General features: G+C 49.5%; 1 protein-coding gene and 1 long non-coding RNA gene across 3 annotated transcripts; one reads left to right on the forward strand and one right to left on the reverse strand.

Annotated features, from left to right (window-relative positions):
* Nucleotides 1–346: 346 nt before the first annotated feature.
* LYPD8 (LY6/PLAUR domain containing 8) lies at nucleotides 347–16,691 on the reverse strand. Of its 2 annotated transcripts, NM_001085474.2 has the most exons (7): nucleotides 16,637–16,691; nucleotides 16,171–16,318; nucleotides 11,962–12,062; nucleotides 11,456–11,575; nucleotides 9,221–9,385; nucleotides 6,074–6,211; nucleotides 347–781 (listed from the first exon to the last, which is right to left on the reverse strand). In NM_001085474.2, exons 3-7 carry the CDS (start codon nucleotides 12,011–12,013, stop codon nucleotides 543–545), a joined length of 714 nt encoding a protein of 237 aa, NP_001078943.2. In that variant the 5' UTR covers nucleotides 12,014–12,062; nucleotides 16,171–16,318; nucleotides 16,637–16,691; the 3' UTR covers nucleotides 347–542. The 2 variants fall into 2 exon arrangements, with proteins under 2 accessions (NP_001078943.2, NP_001278212.2); NM_001291283.2 differs by lacking the exon at nucleotides 16,171–16,318.
* On the forward strand, nucleotides 771–4,881 carry LOC107985747 (uncharacterized). Its single transcript, XR_001738577.2, has 2 exons — nucleotides 771–1,036; nucleotides 4,747–4,881. It is a non-coding gene; the product is annotated as an uncharacterized LOC107985747 (long non-coding RNA).
* Nucleotides 16,692–23,315: the final 6,624 nt, after the last annotated feature.

Consider the following 23,315-nt stretch of genomic DNA (forward strand, 5'->3'; position numbering starts at 1 on the left):
CTGTGGACTTCTGACCACAATCAGGACAACTGTTGAAGAGCCATATATTGGCCAATACTGAAGGAGCTTATGTGTTGGTACTGGGGTCAACACAGGCCTTATAAAGTAGGCGGGGGAGCTCCTTGTGTGTGACAGTGTGGATGGTGGCATGTCCGTCCCCAGAGGTGCAGGGCTGCAAGGTCAAGGGGTCGGCTTCCTAGAAGCAAGATGAGCAGGGATGTCCTCAGATCCCAGAAACAAACGTGCACAGGTTTCAAAGGCAAGGACCCCACCTGCAGCCCAGAAGTGGGAGGCGATGCTGGATAGCAGCTCAAATGAAGCCCAGCCCAGAATGCATCAGGACAGATTTGGGCAGTGAATGAACCAGTGCTTTAATAATGAAGAACAAGGCAGCTGTCGGCATTGCCTGGAGACCTGTGACTCCCACTTACTGGGCAGTTAAACGGGGCAGAGCAGGGAAAGAGGGTGTCAGCACCGCAGGGGGTGCTCTGGACCTCAGAGAAGCAGAAATGGGGTGCTGGGCAAAGTGCAGCCCCAGGACCTCAGGGCAGCAGTCCCCGAAGAAGGAGGCTGGCAAGGGCCAAGAGGTAGAGGGAAGCTTTGGAGCCCACGTTGTGGGAAGTGGTTGGTGCAGACGTGGGGGTTAAGCTGTTTACATTTGCACACTCAAACTTTCGAAAGATGACTCCTCCAAGAGTCTTGTTTTCACCAGACAGGAACTGACAGGTGGCGTTACTGACGTTGGAACAGCCTTTCAGCACGAGACTCTTAGACTCAATGTCTGTGAATGCAAAGGAGACAGGAGGGACGCCACTCAGTCCTTTGTCCTTCCACCCACGCCTGCTCTTAGTTCTTCACCTGCAGCACGGTGGCCCGGTGACCAGCAAGAGCTGGTGTGCTCCTGAAGCCCAGGCAGGAAGAAGGAGCCTGCGTGTTCAGAGTCAAGAACACCACGCGGTAATGGTAGAGAGACCCTGGAGGTCAGAGGCCTAGACTCCCACCGCCACCTGACCCTGGAGGAAGCAGACTCCTGGAGGTGAGTGGCAAGCCCAGGCTAAACAGTGAAGGTCAGAGCTGGACCTGGGACTCACATCTCCCGTGTTCCTGTGTAGCTGGAAGGTGAGGAAACCAGGAACAGATTCAAAAGGCAGTTCTCTGTTCTCAGTTCAGGAAGGGGCCAGCACCTTGGACTTCCCTGTCCCCTTCCAGGCTTTGCTTTCCGTCCTCACTCCTCTCTGGACCTGAGTCCTCCCTGCCTGAGTTTTCCCTGAGAAGAAGGAAGGGCCACCAGGAGGCATATAAGAGACCACGGCATGTCTCTGCCGTAAATTGGGGTTCTGCTATGTTTAATCGTGTTTTGAGATTCATGTACTAGAAAAAGGCCTGGGGCATTTGGACAAAAGACATAGTTACGATAGCAGCTACCTGTTATTGAGCACTTACTGTGAGCCCCAATTGCTCTGTCAGCTGCAATTCAAACAGCCCTGGAGACAGGCACCTCACAGAGGCCAAGGGACTCACGGAGGTGAAGTGACTCCACTCACCACTTGTCAGAGGCAGGGCCGCAATTTGAGTTCAAGGCCGGCTCTAGGACCAGGCATGAAGCAGGGCCGCAATTTGAGTTCAAGGCTGGCTCTAGGACCAGGCATGAAGCAGGGCCACAATTTGAGTTCAAGGCTGGCTCTAGGACCAGGCATGAAGCAGGGCTGCAATTTGAGTTCAAGGCTGGCTCTAGGACCAGGCATGAAGCAGGGCTGCAATTTGAGTTCAAGGCTGGCTCTAGGACCAGGTGTCTCACGCCTGTAATCATGGTACTTTGGGAGGCTGAGGTGAGAGGATTGCTTGAGGCCAGGAGTTTGAGACCAGACTGGGAAACATTGTCTCTACAAAAAATTAAGTTATCCAGGGGTGGTGGCACATGCCTGTAGTCCCACTACTTGGAGGCTGAGATGGGAGATTGGCTTGAGCCAGGAGTTCGAGGCAGCAGTGAGTCAGTGATCGCACCCCTGCATTCCGGCCCGGGCGACAGAGCGAGACCCTGTCTTGAACAGCAACAACAACAAAGGCTGATTCTAAACTTGTTTGGAAAAGGAGTTAGAAACCTCCAAATGCTGTTTTATAGCAAGCATCAGTGCTGAAGTTTTTTGTTTTGTTTTGAGATGGAGTCTCGCTCTGTCATCCAGGCTGGAGTGCAGTGGTGCAATCTTGGCTCATTGAAGCCTCTGTCCCCCAGGTTCAAGTGATTCTCCTGCCTCAGCCCCCTGAGTAGTACGGACTACAGGCGCGTGCCACCACATCTGGCTAATTTTTGTATTTCTAGTAGAGACAGGGTTTCACCATGTTGGCCAGGCTGATCTTGAACTCCTGACCTCAAGTCATCAGCCTGTCTTGGCCTCTCAAAGAGCTGGGATTACAGGCGTGAGCCACCGCACCTGGCCAGTGCTGAAGACTCAGAGTGAGTTAAGGAGGTGTGTTTCATGGAACATTTCTACTGTATTAAAAAAAGTGATCTTGAACAAAAAGAAACAAAAATACCCCTACATTTATGATAGCTTTGATCTGTCTGGCTTTCAGCTTAAGTCAAGTCCTATGAGAAAGAGGAAAATCGATCCCTTTTATCAGAGCTGGGGACAAGATAAGCAGAGAGAGAAAAATCTTTCTGATGTCATGTTGCCCTAGGACACAGTTTTAGAATTAAAAATCATAGCAGCTTAGACATCCCAGAAATTTTAAAAGTGAAAGGAGCTTTAAATGGATATTACTAAGGAAAGAAGCCGTTTTGAAAAGGCTACATACTGTATGAGTTCAACTATAGGATAGTGTGGAAAAGGCAAAACTCTGGAGGCAATAACAAAGATCAGTGGTTGTCAGAGCTTAGAGGGGAGGGAGGGATGCGTAGGTAGAGCATAGAGGAATTTTAAGGCAGTGGAAATACTCTATATGGTACTACTACAATGGTGGATGTATATCATTCTACATTTGTCCAAACTCATGGAATATACAACACCAAGGGGGAACCTTAATGTAAGCTATCAACTTTGGGTGAGGCTGTATCAATGTAGCCTCACTGCTTAGAAAAAATGTACCTCTCTGGTGGGGATGTTGGCAGCGGGGAGATTATGCTCTGGTGGGGATGTTGGCAGCGGGGGAGATTACGCTCTGGTGGGGATGTTGGCAGCCGGGGGAGGTTACGCTCTGGTGGGGATGTTGGCAGCGGGGGAGATTATGCTCTGGTGGGGATGTTGGCAGTCGGGGGAGATTATGCTCTGGTGGGGATGTTGGCAGCCGGGGAGGTTATGCTCTGGTGGGGATGTTGGCAGCGGGGGAGATTATGCTCTGGTGGGGATGTTGGCAGTCGGGGGAGATTATGCTCTGGTGGGGATGTTGGCAGCCGGGGAGGTTATGCTCTGGTGGGGATGTTGGCAGCCGGGGAGATTATGCTCTGGTGGGGATGTTGGCAGCGGGGAGATTATGCTCTGGTGGGGATGTTGGCAGCCGGGGAGATTATGCTCTGGTGGGGATGTTGGCAGTCGGGGGAGATTATGCTCTGGTGGGGATGTTGGCAGCGGGGGAGATTATGCTCTGGTGGGGATGTTGGCAGCCGGGGAGATTACGCTCTGGTGGGGATGTTGGCAGCGGGGGAGATTATGCTCTGGTGGGGATGTTGGCAGCCGGGGAGATTATGCTCTGGTGGGGATGTTGGCAGCGGGGGAGGTTATGCTCTGGTGGGGATGTTGGCAGCCAGGGAGATTATGCTCTGGTGGGGATGTTGGCAGCGGGGGAGGTTACGCTCTGGTGGGGATGTTGGCAGCCGGGTAGATTACGCTCTGGTGGGGATGTTGGCAGCGGGGGAGATTATGCTCTGGTGGGGATGTTGGCAGCCGGGGGAGATTATGCTCTGGTGGGGATGTTGGCAGCCGGGGGAGGTTACGCTCTGGTGGGGATGTTGGCAGCCGGGGGAGGTTATGCTCTGGTGGGGATGTTGGCAGCGGGGGAGGTTATGCGTGTCAGGTAGATGAGAAATTTCTATCACTTCTGCCCAATTTTGCTGTGAATCTAAAACTACTCTGAAAAAAAATGTGTATTTAAAAAAAAACAGTATAAAGAGGTTCGGGGCTGGGTGCTGTGGCTCACACCTGTAATCCCAGCACCTTCGGAGACCGAGGCGGGCGGATCACTTGAGTTCAGGTGTTTGAGACCAGCCTGGCCAACATGGCGAAACCCCATCTGTACTACAAATACAAAAAGTAGCCAGGTGTGGTGGCACATGTGTATAATCCCAGCTACCCAGGAAGCTGAGGCAGGAGAATCACTTGAACCCAGGAGACGGAGGTTGCAGTGAGCTGAGATCGCACCACTGCACTCCAGCCTGGGCGACAGAGCAAGACTCCATCTCAAAAAACCAAAAAGACAACAACCGAAATAAGAGGTTCAGGATAAGCATGGTGCTTGACGCCGCTGAAAAATCCATGATTACAGTTAAACACTGATTCATGATGCTATAATTGACACTTAACAAATATTAAAATCAAACTGTACCTGGATACTAGTGCTCTTAAACTCTTACGCTTTTGAGCCACATTTTGGCAGAGCCTGACTATCTCAGCCTCCCTTACAGCCAAGATGACTGTCTTACCGGGTCCTAGCCAGTGGAATGTGGGAGGAAGTGATGCATTCACATCCAGGCCCAACCCATAGAAACTCACCTGCCTTCCTCCACTACCTCTCTTTCCTACTGCTGGCAAGATGCAAAGGATACAGCACAGAGCTGCCAAGACCCGGTGAGTGGGGGCCAGAGCTACAAGACAGAAGGAGCGCATGGCCTGGACTCTGCAATGAACTGCTCCAGCAAGGAATAAACATCTATTGTATTGAGCCATAGGCTTTGGAGGTTGTTCTTTAACTTTTTAACTAGTTAAGGTTTCTAAATTTTCTTAGCTTTAATTTCTAAGACAGTGTATACTGATAGATGGAGTCCACATAAACAAAAGTTCTTTGGGGTCCTCAATAATTTTTAAGACATAGAGTCTTAACAGAGGGCCTGAGATCACAAGGTTTGAGAACTACTGATGGCCACTAATGTCCCTCTCACACAACCTGAATCACTAAGAAAGAGGGGAGGCATAGTGAAGTGCTGGTTTTCCCCATTTGTTTCCTGTGTAATTGCTGTAAGTCACATGTTAATGCCATCCAGATACTCACTGAAGTGCCTGGGCTTGAGATGTCCACCCAAGGGAAAGGAGAACAGGTGAAAAAGGAAGAGCCAGGGCTGGGAGGACACAAGAAGCCCGCCTGCATGGCCAGCACCCACCCAGGGCATCACTGGTATTGTTAACAGCAATTAACTTACCTTAACTAATAAATGTATTAACCTTTAACTGTTTGGGCAAATGTTAGAAATGTGTATTTTACAATGGTTAGTATCAAATGTGGATCTCACAATGGGTAGCGTCAAATGTGGATCTCACAATGGGTAGCGTCAAATGTGGATCTCACAATGGGTAGCGTCAAATGTGGATCTCACAATGGGTAGCGTCAAATGTGGATCTCACAATGGGTAGTGTCAAATGTGTATTTTACGATAGTTAGTATCAAACTGCTTTTGTAGAAAAGCACAATTGGTTGGATTTAAGGCCCAATTTGACTCTTTCTGCCAGGTGATCCAAGCTACCAAAAGCCAACACCTCTTAGTGACAACTAGAGAATAAAAGTGTAGATATAAAAGGAAATAAAAGTTGCACCACCCTCACCTATAGAATGATGCGACCTGGTAAAGAAGTGAATGTCAGGAGGGGTGTGATGCGCTTAGACAAATGTGACTGGATTACAAGCCACAGGAGAATAGAGTTCAAGGGAAGGGTAGCCCAGGAGAAACAGCTCTGCTCTAAGAAGGCAGCAATAGCAGCGAGCTCAAGGCTACATGAGCAGCCACTGTATTTAAAGACATTATGGCCCTTATCCCCCTTGTCCCACGACTCCCCTGGTCCTTCTGTGTTAACCCAGAATTTATGAACCAAGACTTGACATGTTTCCAGCCCAAGTCCCATAGAGGAATTAGAACTCCAAGACTTACCATTCTTAAGTTCTGCAACTAGAAAGACACACTGTTCTTCTTCATAGCATTTCCAGGGCTTCCCATGACAGGAAGTTCCATTAGATTCATAACAAGCAGGGCACTCTGCGTTGCTGGACACGTTCTTCAGGGGAGGGTCTGGAAGAGTCAGAGTCATTACTCAGGACAGTGTTATCATACAGAACATGGGAGGAAGGGGATAGGCAAGCAAAGAAAGCACCAAAGAGATCGGAGAACGGAGCAATGACATCCTTGGGAATCTCAGATCTAGCCTTGAAAACACCATGTCTCCTCAAAATATTTACTACACACAGCTCCACAGATCTGCTCTAACAGACTATCTAGCCTTTAAGAACTGTGGCCCATCAGTGTGTTTGGGTATAGACTGAGAAAGGTAAGATTTTGAGCTAAAACCAAACTATAGTCAACATGAACATTAGCTAGCCATCCTGAACATTTGCCAATAAGTGGGTGAGTGTTACTAAATCCTGCTCTGAACAAATGAACACAGGCCACTATTTAACATTATGACTAGAAGAAAAAAATTTACAATGAGACCAGCTCTGCTCTTAATTAACTGTGCTTTATGACCATGGCCAATAAACTTTGCCTTTTCAGCCACATTTTCTGTTTTTCAAAAAGAGAGCTTTGGTCTAGATCAGCAGGTCTCAAATTGTGGTGCAGGAAGCCTTGAGTCCCTGAGACCCTTACAGGGAGTACTACAAGGTTCAAACCATACTCATGATAATACTAAAATATTATTTACTTATTTCACTCTCTTTCTCTTGTGAATGTAAAGTGGAGTTTCCCAGAGGCTCCATGATGTGTGAGACTGTAACAGACTAAATGCACAAGTAAATATGAGAATCCAGCTGTCTTTTATTAAGTCAGAAACTAAAGAATTTCCAAAAGGTATAATAACAATGCCACCCTTCCCGTTGTATATGTTTCTTTTGGAGAATATAGTTATATTACTGTTGATGTGTAATGTGTTTTGGTTATTTTGGCAAACTAGTTACAATTTGTAAATATTATTAGCTTTAATTTCTAAGACAGTACATATTGATAGATGGAGTCCACATAAACGAAAGTTCTTTGGGGTCCTCAATAATTTTTAAGACATAGAGTCTTAACAGAGGGCCTGAGATCACAAAATTTGAGAACTACTGACCGGAACTAAAGTCCCTCTCGCACAACTTGCAATGTCTGTCTTCACTAAGAAAGAGGGGAGGCATGGCGGAAGTGCTGGTTTGCCCCATTTGTTTCCTGTGTAATTGCTGTAAGTCCGATGTTAATGCCATCCGGATATACACTGAAGTGTCTGGACTTGAGATGTCCACCCAAGGGAAAGGAGAATGGTTGAAAAAGGAAGAACCAGGGCTGAGAGGACACAGGAAGGCAGGAAGGCTGTCCACATGGCCAGCAGCACCCACCCAGGGCATCGCCCGCACGGCCAGCACCCACCCAGGGCATCCCCCGCACGGCCAGCACCCACCCAGGGCATCGCCCGCACGGCCAGCACCCACCCAGGGCATCGCCCGCACGGCCAGCACCCACCCAGGGCATCGCCCGCACGGCCAGCACCCACCCAGGGCATCGCCCGCACGGCCAGCAGCACCCACCCAGGGCATCGCCCGCACGGCCAGCACCCACCCAGGGCATCGCCCGCACGGCCAGCACCCACCCAGGGCATCCCCCGCACGGCCAGCACCCACCCAGGGCATCACCCGCACGGCCAGCACCCACCCAGGGCATCGCCCGCACGGCCAGCACCCACCCAGGGCATCGCCCGCACGGCCAGCAGCACCCACCCAGGGCATCGCCCGCACGGCCAGCAGCACCCACCCAGGGCATCGCCCGCACGGCCAGCACCCACCCAGGGCATCCCCCGCACGGCCAGCACCCACCCAGGGCATCCCCCGCACGGCCAGCACCCACCCAGGGCATCGCCCGCACGGCCAGCACCCACCCAGGGCATCGCCCGCACGGCCAGCACCCACCCAGGGCATCGCCTGCACGGCCAGCACCCACCCAGGGCATCCCCCGCACGGCCAGCACCCACCCAGGGCATCCCCCGCACGGCCAGCACCCACCCAGGGCATCGCCCGCACGGCCAGCACCCACCCAGGGCATCCCCCGCACGGCCAGCACCCACCCAGGGCATCCCCCGCACGGCCAGCACCCACCCAGGGCATCGCCCGCACGGCCAGCACCCACCCAGGGCATCCCCCGCACGGCCAGCACCCACCCAGGGCATCGCCCGCACGGCCAGCACCCACCCAGGGCATCGCCCGCACGGCCAGCACCCACCCAGGGCATCGCCCGCACGGCCAGCACCCACCCAGGGCATCCCCCGCACGGCCAGCACCCACCCAGGGCATCGCCCGCACGGCCAGCACCCACCCAGGGCATCCCCCGCACGGCCAGCACCCACCCAGGGCATCGCCCGCACGGCCAGCACCCACCCAGGGCATCCCCCGCACGGCCAGCACCCACCCAGGGCATCGCCCGCACGGCCAGCACCCACCCAGGGCATCCCCCGCACGGCCAGCACCCACCCAGGGCATCCCCCGCACGGCCAGCACCCACCCAGGGCATCGCCCGCACGGCCAGCACCCACCCAGGGCATCGCCCGCACGGCCAGCACCCACCCAGGGCATCGCCCGCACGGCCAGCACCCACCCAGGGCATCCCCCGCACGGCCAGCACCCACCCAGGGCATCCCCCGCACGGCCAGCACCCACCCAGGGCATCCCCCGCACGGCCAGCACCCACCCAGGGCATCCCCCGCACGGCCAGCACCCACCCAGGGCATCCCCCGCACGGCCAGCACCCACCCAGGGCATCCCCCGCACGGCCAGCACCCACCCAGGGCATCCCCCGCACGGCCAGCACCCACCCAGGGCATCGCCCGCACGGCCAGCACCCACCCAGGGCATCCCCCGCACGGCCAGCACCCACCCAGGGCATCCCCCGCACGGCCAGCACCCACCCAGGGCATCGCCCGCACGGCCAGCACCCACCCAGGGCATCGCCCGCACGGCCAGCACCCACCCAGGGCATCCCCCGCACGGCCAGCACCCACCCAGGGCATCCCCCGCACGGCCAGCACCCACCCAGGGCATCGCCCGCACGGCCAGCACCCACCCAGGGCATCGCTGGTGTTGCTGCATTCCTTTCCTTGGCAGCACTGGCTTACAAAATGAAAGTGTTCTTCAGCAGACACGTGGACAGTGAAGGCTGTAATGTGTGTCTCCTCACTGCAGTTCTCCGCTGAGCAGAACATATTCTGGTATAATCTGACTGGTGTCTCTACACAAAGACAAACACAGACTGTCAGCCCCTGGTAAGGAGGAGGTGTGGGGAGGGTGGAGACCCAGAATAGCAACTGTTTCAGGCAAAGGCAGAAAATGCAACCTCAGTATCATGCAGTTTTGAAGACACTGGAGAGGGTTTTCCGGAAAAAATAATAATAATTCTTCCCATCGGGTAACCCCTCCTTTGAGCAGGAGGCTATCAGAGGTGCAGGTTAAACTCCAGGCAAAAGTCTGATTGGGAGCCTGAAAATGGTTGGTCCAAGTGGACAGTCCCTGAAGCCTTCAATAAGTCTTAAGAGCTGTAAAAATGATCAAACAGACATGACGAGCCTTATGTGCAATATGACATCCACAGTTCCTGCCTAAAAATTGAACCTGAATCCAGTCAAGCTTCTAGCCAGAGCTATCTAATATGGTAGCCACTAGCTATTTGTGCCTATTTAAATTTAAATTTTATTAATTAAAATAAAATCAAATTTAAAATTAAGCTCCTCAGCCATAGTAGCCATATATCAAGTGCTCAGTAGCCATATGTGACTACAGTATGGCACAGTGTTAATACAGATACTTTCATCATTGAAGAAGGCACTGCTAGTCAGCCCTGATTACCTATACAAGAAACACTGAGAACAGGAGAGCAAGTTATATGAAACCAGCAGGAAGCAATCAACCACAGCTAGAATATGGGACAGCTACAGGACAAATGACCCATTTCTCTAACAAACCAATAGGATTGAACAAAAAATGATGGAAGCTGTTATAAAACAAGTTAGGCTTAACAGACCTAACAGCAAAATGGGGGATTTGGCTGGGATCCTAATTTCGCACATAGACCACATCATGACATCTTTGAAACAATTAAGAAATGTTTAAGATGGCCTGGATATTAGAAGAAATTAAAGAATTACAGTTAATTTTCTCAGGTATGATAACAGTATGTGTCTTAGTTCATTTTGTGTTGCTATACCAGAATACCATGGATTGGATAACCTATAAAGAGAATAAATTTATTATTTACAGTACTAGAGTCTGCAAAGTACAACATCAAAGTGCCAGCCTCTGGTGAAGACTTTCTTCTGCATCATCCCACGGCAGAAGGGCAAGAGAGGGTGAGAGCAAGTGAGGGAAAGAGGGGCCCAGACTCCTTTTTATCAGGAACCCACCTCCACATTCATGACATCAATGCATTCACAAGGGCGGAGTCCTCACAGCCTAATCACTTCTGAATGGTCCCACCTCTTAATACCATCACGGTGGCAATTAAGTTTCAACATTAGTTTTGGAGGGAATATTCAAACCATAGCAATATGATAGTTATGTAAAAAACAATTATGATCAGAGATAAATAGTGAAGTATTTATGGAGAAAATGACCGATGACATGTACACACATACACATATATGTGTGTACATGTATATTTATATAATGTTTAATTTAAAATACCATAGCCAAAAATACTGTAGTAAAAAAAAAAACTATAGCAAAAAAATAGCAAAATGTTAATAACTGCTGACACAGGGTAGTGGTTACATGGCAGTTCATTATACTCTTTTTCCTACTTTAAACATACATGAAGTATGTTTGAACGTGTCTATTACAAAAAAGTGAAGAAGAAATCTAAGTGCTCTGAGAAAGAGGTTACAATAGTAGTTACTCAAAACGCCCTGTGGGGAGGTCTTGAATGAAGGAAAGTGTGTTTGATCCAGAAGAGGAGGAACCATGAGAGAGAGAAATGAAAGCATCCAGAGCAAATCCTCCTGGTAATTTAACTAAGAGCTGTCCTTGCTTCTCACATCCACTGACATGCGTCTCGAATGAAGCTTTGAGGTCACGGGCATCAGTCCCAAACACCACGAGGGGCTCCTGTGGCTTTGACCCTGTGATCTTGTCTGGCTCCTGCTTGCCTCAGCCAAGCGTTGTTTCTCCTGGGAGTCACCTTTGTGGCTTCCTCTCTCCTTGGACAGCACGACCCCTTCTCTGCCTTTCTTTCCTGCCTGGATGTCCTCTCCAGCTCCCTCCCGGTGCAAGCCCCAGAGGCAGGAAGGACACACACACCCAGGCTCACCTAGAGAGGAGCTGGCTGAGGAGCTGATACAGCTGGTGTTGGCATGTGAGGGACATTCAGAGGCAATGCTGTTGACACAGGATTTTTCCCATGAATTACACTGCACGCAGCTCAGAGATTCTGAGGAGACAAGACATCCAACACCAGTCAACATTCAGTAGACATTTATAGAGCATACTCTACTCTAGGAAAAGCACTGCTCCCACCTTGCAGTAAAAGACAGACGGGATGGCATCCCTGCCCTCTGGGGATACCTGAAATTGATGCTGTAAGATGAGCCACCCTAATTAGTTTCTCCCACTGCTCACTATTCCCCAGTAGAAAGATCCAACCTTCAACAACAATACAGAGTGGCCCCTTCAAAGCAGGCTGCACGGACAGGTCTCATGGTCATCCCTGACCATAATTTGACATGTGAGGCCCTCGGGGATTTGAGAGCAAGAAGACACTGGTGAGGTGGAAAAGGGGGTCTCCATTCTAAAAAGGGGCCACGTGAGTTCTCTTACCTACAGCTGCAACAAGCACTGCAGTGATACCAGCAACGAGGATGCCCTTCATGGTGCTGGAGCTGACTTCTCCCAAGGATGGGGACCACAGGGCCTCAAGCCTGAAAAGACACAAAGAAGGCAGCCCCGGGGCCTTGGAGGGCTGCCTCTCATCCCCTGGGGCTTTTAATCGCACTGTAAGAAGCCCAGTACTCAGTCCATCCTTGTGACAGAAAGAATCAAAATCCTGAGCTGGGAGCACAAAGCTGATTCCACCCTGCTGCAAACGGAGGGCCAAGTTTTCTTAATCTCAGCCTGCAGGAGCATCTACACGCAGATATGAAACACAGCCAGGGGCCATTTCCCGTGGAGCCAATTCAGTTGCAAAATGTGCAGGCAGATTAATTTTTAGTTTCACTTTTGGGATGGGGTCCAAGAAGAAAGAGCTGGGCTGGGGTCTGTGCCCCTCCCCTCCCCCAGAGCACAATGTCCCTCCTTCAGCCAGTCTCTCACTGCATCCATATTTTACACTTAAGGGTTCTGTTGCTGCCACCACCACCGCAATAGGCAGACAGCTATTGAGCACTTACTCCATTCCAAACACTTTACAGGTATTAATTTATGTAATTCATCTACTGTAGCAGGCAGGTATTATTATTAGCATCCTAAGAAAAATCAAGCCTTAGCAGGATTGGGTAATGCACTCAAAGTCAAGGTCTTACTTCTGGGAGGTATCAGAACTGGAGTTTCGTCTGTGTCCCCAACCGCCAGCCCACACTCCCTTCCACTATTCCCACAGTCCTCAGCCTGGACACACTCAACCTGCAGCACTAAATCAGAGTCCCCCATGCACTTCCAAATAGCGTGTCACCAATGTCTCTGCACCTTGCATTCCCTGCCTGCAGATTCTCTGAGTTAGGCCTTTGAGGATTGCTAAGGTTTGGTTATATTCATTAGAATTCGAAATTAGAACTTCCAGAATTCCAACTTGCTTGTGTATCAAAGCAGGAGAGAGCAGGTGTGTGGCTCTGGCCTGAGCCCTTCTTAATCATTATCTCATTTACCCTATACACGGTCGCTGTGAGGCACACATAGTTATTTATGATTCTTCGAGGGTAGATAAAATGAAACATTCTGTTTCTCAGTAGCACTGGCTACATTCCCAATGCTCAGGAGCCACATGTGGCTGTTGGCTGCTGTATTGGCCAACGCAGGCACAGAACACTTCCATCATTGCGGAGAGTCCCAGTGGACAGTACTGTACGGCAGAGGCTATTAGCCCCACTCTACAGGTGAGAAACCTGCAGCACAGAGGGACGACGAAGTAACCCAAGCTCGCTCGGCTCCTAAGGCCAAAGCCAGTGCTCTATTCCAGGTCCTTCCAGCTCCAAAGCCTAGTTGCACCACAATAGCTGCTACTTACTGAAACACAATCGCCTTCATCTGGAAGCCCCTACTCCCACCTCACCACACACATGCACATCACCCCCCACACACACCAAACAMCCCACACAACACACACACACCACACCACACAAACACAAACACACCACATCATGAACACACACATCACACACACACCACACACCCCACACACCCCACACACATCACACACACACACCACACACCCCACACAACACACAACACACACCACACACACCACACCACACACACACCACACCCCACAACACACACACACCACACTCCCCACTGAACACACACACATCACACACACCACACACCCCACACACACCACACACCCCACACAACACACACCACACACACACCACACCCCACAACACACACACATCACATCACACACACCACACCCCACACACACACACCACACCACACACACACCACACACCCCACACAACACATACACACATCACACACACCCCACACACCAACACACCACATCACACACACACCACATCACACACACACCAAACACCCCACACAACACACACACAACACAACACACACACAAACACACCACATCATACACACACCACACACCCCACACACCACACACACATCACACACACACCCCACACACCCCACACACCCCACACCACACTACACACACACCACACACCACACACAACACACACAACACAACACACACACCCCACACACAAACACCCCACACACCACACACACCACATCACACACACACACCACATCACACCCCACACAACACACACACCACACCACACACACACACCACACACCCCACACAACACACACCGCATCACACACACACCACACAACACACACACACCACACACACCACACACCCCACACAACACACAACACATCACACACACCACACACACCACACAACACACACATCACATACACACCACACACCACACACAACACATACACATCACACACACACCACACACCACACACAACACACACAACACAACACACACAACACACACCCCACACAACACACCACATCACACACACATCACACAACACACAACACAACACACACATCACACACCCCACACAACACACCACATCACACAAAACACATCACACACACAACACACACCCCACACAACACACACAACACAACACACACACCACACACCCCACACAACACACACAACACACCACACATATACATCACACACCACACACCCCACGCAACACACACACCACATCACACACACACCACACACCCCACACACACACGCATCACACCACACACACCACAGCCCCCACACAACACATACACACCACATCACACACACACCACACATCACATGTCATACACAGCACATACACCACACACACCACATAACATCACATGTCACACACACATCACATGACACATACACCACACACCCCATGCATCACACACACACCACACATCACATGTCATACATACTACATACACACAACACACACAACACATAACATCACATGTCACACACATCACATGACACACACCACACACTCCACACATCACATACACACTGCACATACACTACATCACACACCACACACCACACATCACATGTCACAAACACCACACAGCACACCCCACACCACACACATACACCACATACACAAATACCACACCACACACCACACATACACCACACCACACACACTTCACACACACCACACATCACATGTCACACACATTAGGTACACACCGAACACACACAACACACATTAAATGCCACATACAACACACCACACACATTAAACACACACCCCACACATAAGTCACACACATCACACACACAACACACCATGCGCTAAATACATCACACATACTACACACATGCAAATCACATCACAGACACCACATACGCACCACACCACATACCACACACACGACACATCACATGCCACACATCACCTGTCACACACATCAAACACACACACAATACACCACACACCTCACACACGTCAAACAAACCCCACACACACCATATCACACACACATCACACACACCACACATGCACCATATGCCTCCACACACAGAGACACATACACATCACACACCCTCACACACACACACCCCACATGCCATTTATACCACATGCCACAAACATTACATGCACACAAACCATATACACAATACACAAACCACACACAAACACCACACACCCTACCCTGATACCCTGGTTGACTTATTAGAGATTGGTAAAAAGGAAGGGAAACCAGTCGGTCTGGGAGAAGAGGCCCATACATGATGCCAATGACCCCACCATTTAGAGATCCAAGGAGGAAAATAAAGCACATCTGGTCTGGAGCTTGTAGCAGACGTGCGCCAGCCCCTCACCCCTCCAGGCCCGGTGCACCCCTACATGCCCGGGTGCACCCCTCCAGGCCTGGAACCCCAGCTGCTTGCTTTTCTCCTCAGTGGGAAAAGAGTTTCAGGGCCATGGCCTTCTGGGAAAGGGCCTCTCAGGTCTTACAGTGTGATGGAGGAGGGGAAAGGAGAGGATGAGATGAGATGAGAAGGAGACCCCAGCAGCCCATCAAGTGCACAGATCACCTCAGCCTATGGTGAAGACCTGAAACTAGCCTCATTTTCAGGGAGAATTGATGGAGGCCCAGAGAGGTCAGGACTTGACCCAGGGRCACCTAGCAGAGAAACAGAGCCTGGGAGTGACCCCATAGCAGGACCCAGGGCCGTGCTCAACACCTCTGTGGGTAAGAGGGACCAGTGAAGCTGGGGCTCAAGGCAGGGCCCCCACCTGGGACATGAGAAGAAGTGGCATCTTAGGCCGTTTCACTAGGTACTTCCCACTGGCAAAGTTTTATTGCGGAATCTTTTCGACAGCCTGGCAGGGTCCTGCTATAATTGCTGTCATCTTCCACAGAGAAAGCTGGAGCCTAGAGAGGCTGTGAGGACACAAAACCACACAGAATGAAGAATGTCACACACAGAATGATGCACAGAACACGCACACACTACACACAAACCACACACACAGTAGCAGATGGCAAAACAACAAGAAAACTACATCCCCAGCCCACATCCTCCCTGAACTCCAGACTTCCCTCTCCTGAGCATACGACTGCCTAGGGCAATGCCAAAGGAGCAAGAGCCGCAAGAATGTCCTGGACTTGGCCGGGGAAGGACCTGAGCTGGTCCTGAATGCCCTTCCTGCGGTTTCAGCTTCTCCCAGGGCTCAGGCCCCGGCCTCGCAGTCCTCTCACCTTCTGGATCTGGCCTGGTGACTGTCCTACAGAAGGTGGTTCCCAGTAGAGGCTTAGGGCTGGTATGGGAGAGGCCTTATATAGCAGGTGGCTGTAAAATCAAAAAGCACAGCTGTCTTCTGGGGTGGGACCTCTGGGTCAGACAGGCTAAGGCTTCTGGCTCTCAGACTGTGCCCTGCCCAATAGAGCTACAGGCTGCCCAACCCTTTGGCATCTGTGCAGCTCGTGCCCTCTCTGAGACCTCTAGGAATTGGGAACAACTTTGGTCAAGGCCTGCCTTTGGCAAAATGTAAACAGGAGTAAGGTATCTTCCAGCATTGTCTGTGGCCTTCTAAGTCAATTCCATGACCTGCTAATGACAAGCACCTAACAACCTGCTAACAGTCACCATGATTAGCCCATTTATAGATGAGAAAACCAAAGCACAGAAAGAGAGCCATAAGAGATATGCTCATGGGCACACAGCCGGGGCACAGTCAGAACTCAGAGCTCCGAATCAGACTATGTGGGGTCTGTGCAACTCAGGAAAGGGCCTCAGTTTCCCACAGGCAAGTGTCTTAACCTTGTTAGATTTGAGGGTCCTCCAACCAAGATGAGTGTAAACTCACTGTGCAGCCTCATAGTGTGGTAGAGGGACCATGACGTGAAGCCCCTGCCTGCAGTGTGCTCTGCACACTGGGTGAGAGCCCACAGCAGCCATCGAGAGAGTCTTTCTGGCCAAGTGATCTGAGCAGCTACTGGTAACAGCCCAGGTCAGGTCAACTGAGGCCTCTCTGTATTAGTCAGGTTCTCTGTCCTCTAGAGAAGGTGAGTTTATATATGTATGAAGGGGAGTTCATTAAGGAGTATTGACTCACATGATCACAGGGTGAAGTCCCACAATAGGCTGTCTGTGACCTGAAGACCAAGGAAGCCAGTCTGAGTCCCAAAACCTCAAAAGTGCAGCCTTCAGTCTGTGGCTGATGGCCTGAGAGCCCCTGGCAAACCACTGGTGTAGGCCCAAGAGTCCCAAAGCCGAAGAACTTGGAGTCCGATGTTTGAGGGAAGGAAGCATCCAGCATGGGAGAAAGATGGAGACTGGGAGACTCAGCCAGTCTGGTCCTTCCTCGTTCTGCTGCCTGCTTTTATCCTAGCTGTGTTGGCAGTTGATTAGATGATGTCCACCCAGATGTAGGCTGGGAGGCTAGGCCAGTCTAGCCTTTTGACATTTTTCTGCCTGCTTTATATTCTAGCAGAGCTGGCAGCTGATCAGATGGTGCCCACCCAGACTGAGGGTGGCTCTGCCTCTGCCAGTCCACGGACTCGAGTGTTAATCTCCTTTGGCAACACCCTCACAGACACATCCAGGAACAATACTTTGCAATACTTTTCAATCCAATCATGTTGACACTCAATATTAACCCTCACACTCTCCCAGTCTCCTCACACTGTGCCATGGGTGCTCCTGGTTTTGAGTGTGGACTTGAGTTATCTTCCCTCCTCATCTTTCCACTGTGCTGACACTTTATACACACACGGTGGGGAGTGGGAGGAGCCCACTCAGCCGAGGATGCAGAGGTTGAGGGGCACACATCATACCAGTATCCCCCAGCCTGCATTTAAACCTTGCAGTTCCCTGCTCTTGAAAATACCCCTTGGGGATGGCTACGCTACCTGTGTCTCAGCTCTCTCTTCCTTCCCCAAACTCATGCATTCATTCAACAAACATTTTTTGAGCACCCTCCCTGTCTTAGGCCTACTGTAGGAAACCGGGAGGTATTTGTGAGCAAAAAGACAAAGACCTTTGCCCTCCTGGAGTGTAGTCTAGAGAGGACTACAGACAACATAAATTAAAGTGGTAAATAAGCAAATCACAGGGAAAGTCAGAATGTGGTGACTGCTCTGGCAAAAAGACAAAGAGTAGGATAAGTCATCAACCATGCTAGGGGGTGAGCAGGTGCAGGCTTCCACTTTCAATGAGGAGGTTGTAGTAGGTCTCATGGAGAAGACAAAATCTGAGTTATTTTTATAAGCAGAGACTCTGGCCATCTCTTATTCTCTCCTCTCCTCACCATCTGCCTTCAGGCTGCTTATCACAGCATTTTCCTAAAAAAAAAAAAAAGCAGCTTCCTCCCTAACAGAACCATATTGTTTCCCAGCACACATTAGTCAGTCACCTGGCAGGGCACAACAAGAGAAGTGGCACAGTAATATCCAATGGGGTGTGTGTGGGCTTGCGGGTTTCAGGAATGTGGCCTCCCTGAGCCACCGATGGAGGATCCAAAGAGCTCATGAACACTGCCTCTGAGATAACAGCTCTGGTGTCAGGCTGAGTACTGGCATGAGAAAATCGGGCTGATCAATGTTAATTCCTCTCAGAAGGCACCAGATACTCAGGCAAATGGACCCAAAGCGACCACAAAGATCTGAGTCTGAATCCAGACTTTGTCCCTCACATCACATAAGTTACTTATTAACCGCACTTGTTGGGCCAGAGCTCTTTGTCTTTAAAATGGAATCATCAGGCCCTGAAGAAATGCCTCCTGATGATTTATTTACTCCTGGAATCATCACCCCATTCCTCTGTGTTTTTCCAAGGCCATCTATCTATCAATAATGTCCTGAGGACGTCTAACCATGTGGGAATTATTATTAATAGCACGTATGATTTTAACTGAGCCATTTATCAGTAAGGACACTGAAGACAATGGAAGCCCCCTGAACTAGGCTGCGCAGTCTATACGGCTGCTCACAGCAGTCCTGGGTTCATCCTTTTGAAGCCCCGGCAGTGCGCCAAGGGTACCCCCAGCTGCCTTGACAGATAAGGAAACAGGCCCAGGGAGGCCTTCCCTATAGGCCTTCAGACGCCTGGGCCAGCAATCTTTCCATTTCAACATGGCTCAGGTGGGACGCAGCCTCCACCCGCAGGATTGGAGACATCGACTTGACTCCACTCCTCCCTCTCCCAGAGGTTCACCTCTCTGTCATTAATGTGGGGTCCAAGGACCTGAATCAGTCACAGGGAATTATGAAAAAGCACCTCTCTAAAGCCGACTCCTCCTGACTAGCAAAGAAGTCCAGAGACCCAGGAGAAGCTAAGTCGCAACAAGCAGCCCAACTTTTAAACTAAGAAGCCCTGGGCACACCGTAGGCACCCTAGTTCCATCATCTTCTTAGAAGGGGACAAGGTTGGCTGTCCCTACAGCCTGCTGAGCTGAGGCAAACCTGGAGCTCAGCTGAGTCCCAGTGAGTCATCCGGTGGTAAATCTGGAACCACTTTAGGAAACGGCCTTTTCCCAAAGCTTCCCTTGATGACCAGCAAAGCTTGGAGGTGAGTTTCCAGGGGAGCCTACCCCATTTTGGAATAAGCATGTGGAGGTGTGTAGGGTCAGGTCAGGGAAGCTGGGGCAGGAATTATATCCAACAGGAGTCTAAGCCAAAGACTCAGCAAAAGGATCAAGAGCATCCACCCCTGACCCGCCTTCTCTCTGTGTTTGCTTCTGGGAGCCTTTCATTGACTAGCTCATTCCTCCCGCTTGGAGATGTGAGAATAGGCTAAAAATAATGAATTATTGCCCCCAACATTCCTGCCCCCCAGTCACCTTGCAGAGGAAATGAGCATATCCTGGAAGATAAACTTCCCCAATAGTCCATGGCCTTATGTAAGATGATGATCCCCCCGAGTCTTGGGTTTCCCATCTTTCAAGTGGCAAAAACAGCACTACGGCCTGAGTAGCTATTCTGAGGGTCAAAGGAGGTCGCACAAGCCGACAATGATGATGAAACTATCACTTCATAAAGGGCTCTAAAAACAATGGCTACTACTGCTATCATTGTTCTCTGAGCTCATATCGGCAACTGCACAGCCCAGAGGGACATTCGCATCTGCACAGGGCAATGGTCTGAGGTGAGGTCCAGCCTCAGAACACACTTCTACCACAATTAGATACTACTTCATGCCCACTAACACAAATAAAATCAAAAAGAAAGAAAGAAAAAGAGACAGAGAAAGAAAGAAAGAAAGAAAGAGAAGGAAGCAAGGAAAATTGCGAGCATTAGGAAGGATATGGAGAAATTGGAACCTTCATACACTACTGGTAGGAATGTAAAATGGTGCAGCCACTGTGGAAAGAGTTTGGCAGTTCCTCTAAGAGAGTTACCCATGACACAGCAATTCCACACCTAGGTATATACCCAATATAATTGAATGAAAACAACTGTTTATACAAAAACTTGTACATGAATAATCATAGCAGTATTATTAGACTTAATTTACGAGTATATATATATATATATGTGAAAGTTACGGGTGCAACTTTATACCATAACTTTCTTCACATCTCTCTTCCCCACTTCTGGTTTCTTTTTGCCTTTTCAAGTAAATGATTTTAAAATGGCTTCCAAATTACACAAAATTATTTTTTATAAAATGCAATTTACAGAATTATATATTAATTAGAATTTTTATTTCTAGTAATCTTAAATTTTAGTGAAAATGGGAAGCAAGAAATCTGAACTGTATGTCAGATGTTAGCATTTTATAGATAAAATTATTTCACTATTTCAGAACCATGTTTTCTCATATAATAATTATTTACATTGGAAATGACCCAGACATTCAATAAGCATTTGTTATTTAATTTAAAATAATGTTAAGATTTTACATTACACAAAAAGTCCACTTATAGGTATTTATCTCATGTATATGTATTTAATTAATTTATTTTTTAACAATTTAGATTACTCTTGAAAACCAAGGTATTATATAAAGTTAGTCATTATTTAAAGTTATTTCCCTAATAACCACAGAGGTCAATATAAAATTTATTTAGACAGAAATGTATGCTGATGACTCTAAAGACATTTTTATTATTTTACTAATAATTTTTGAAGCCAGTTTTATTTGTCAAAGATTCACATGAACTTGAAAACCATTTAGACTTAATTTGTGAGTACTTGTTTACTTATATGCCAATTTGGTAGCAAGATAGGTGAAACGAAAAGCTGGTTCTTTGAAAAGATAAATGAAATTGATAGACCACCAGTGAGACTAACCAAAAAAAGAAAAGAGGGGATCTAAATCAGCTCAATTAGAACAAAACAGGAGATATCACAACCGACACCACAGAAATACAAAAGACCATTCAAGGCTACTATGAACATCTTTACATGCATAAACTAGAAAACCTAGAGGAGATAAATAAATTCCTGGAAATATACAACCCTCCTAGATTAAACCAGAAAGAAAGAAAATATTTGAACAGACCAATAACAAGCAGAGAGATTGAAATGGTAAATTTTTTAAAAAGTTGCCAATAAAAAGAAGTCCAGGACCAGACAAACTCACAGCTAAATGCTATCAGACATTAAAAGAAGAGGTAGGCACAGTGGCTCATGCCTGTAATCCCAGCACTTTGGGAGGCCGAGGTGGGCGGATCACTTGAGGCCAGGAGTTCAAGACCAGCCTGGCCAACATGGTGAAACCCCATCTCTACTAAAAGTACAAAAATTAGCCAGGCATGATAGCGCACACCTGTAATTCCAGCTACTAGGGAGGCTGAGGCAAGAGAATTGCTTGAACCCAGGGGGTGGAGGTTGCAGTGAGCCAAGATCACGCCACTGCACTCCAGCCTGGGTGACAGAGCAAGACGCCCTCTCAAATAAATAAATAAATAATTGGTACCAATCTTATTGACACTATTACAAAAAGTAGAGAAAGACGGAATCCTCCCTAAATCATTCTATGAATCCAGTATCACCCTAATACCAAAACCAGTAAAGGATGTAACCGAAAAAGAAAACTACAGACCAATATCCCTGATGAATATAAATGCAAAAATCCTCAACAAAATACTAGCTAAGCAAATCCAACAGCAAATCAAAAAGATAATCCATCATGATCAAGTGGGTTCCATACCATGGATGCAGGGATGGTTTAACATATGTAAGTCGACTACCGAGCCAAGATGGCCGAATAGGAACAGCTCCGGTCTACAGCTCCCAGCGTGAGCGACACAGAAGACGGGTGATTTCTGCATTTCCATCTGAGGTACCGGGTTCATCTCACTAGGGAGTGCCAGACAGTGGGCGCAGGACAGTGGGTGCAGCGCACCATGCGTGAGCCGAAGCAGGGCGAGGCATTGCCTCACTCGGGAAGCACAAGGGATCAGGGAGTTCCCTTTCCTGGTCAAGGAAAGGGATGACAGACGGCACCTGGAAAATCGGGCCACTCCCACCCGAATACTGCGCTTTTCTGACAGGCTTAGGAAATGGTGCACCAGGAGATTATATCCCGCACCTGGCTCAGAGGGTCCTACGCCCACAGAGTCTCACTGATTGCTAGCACAGCAGTCTGAGATCAAACTGCAAGGTGGCAGCAAGGCTGGGGGAGGGGCGCCCACCATTGCCCAGGCTTGCTTAGATAAAGAAAGCAGCCGGAAGCTCGAACTGTGTGGAGCCCACCACAGCTCAAGGAGGCCTGCCTGCCTCTGTAGGCTCCACCTCTGGGGGCAGGGCACAGACAAACAAAAAGACAGCAGTAACCTCTGCAGGCTTAAATGTCCCTGTCTGACAGCTTTGAGGAGAGCAGTGGTTCTCCCAGCACACAGCTGGAGATCTGAGAACGGGCAGACTGCCTCCTCAAGTGGGTCCCTGACCCCTGACCCTTGAGCAGCCTAACTGGGAGGCACCCCTCAGTGGG

The sequence above is a fragment of the Homo sapiens genome, chromosome 1 (assembly GCF_000001405.40).
Source record: "Homo sapiens chromosome 1, GRCh38.p14 Primary Assembly".
Lineage (NCBI taxonomy): Eukaryota > Metazoa > Chordata > Mammalia > Primates > Hominidae > Homo > Homo sapiens.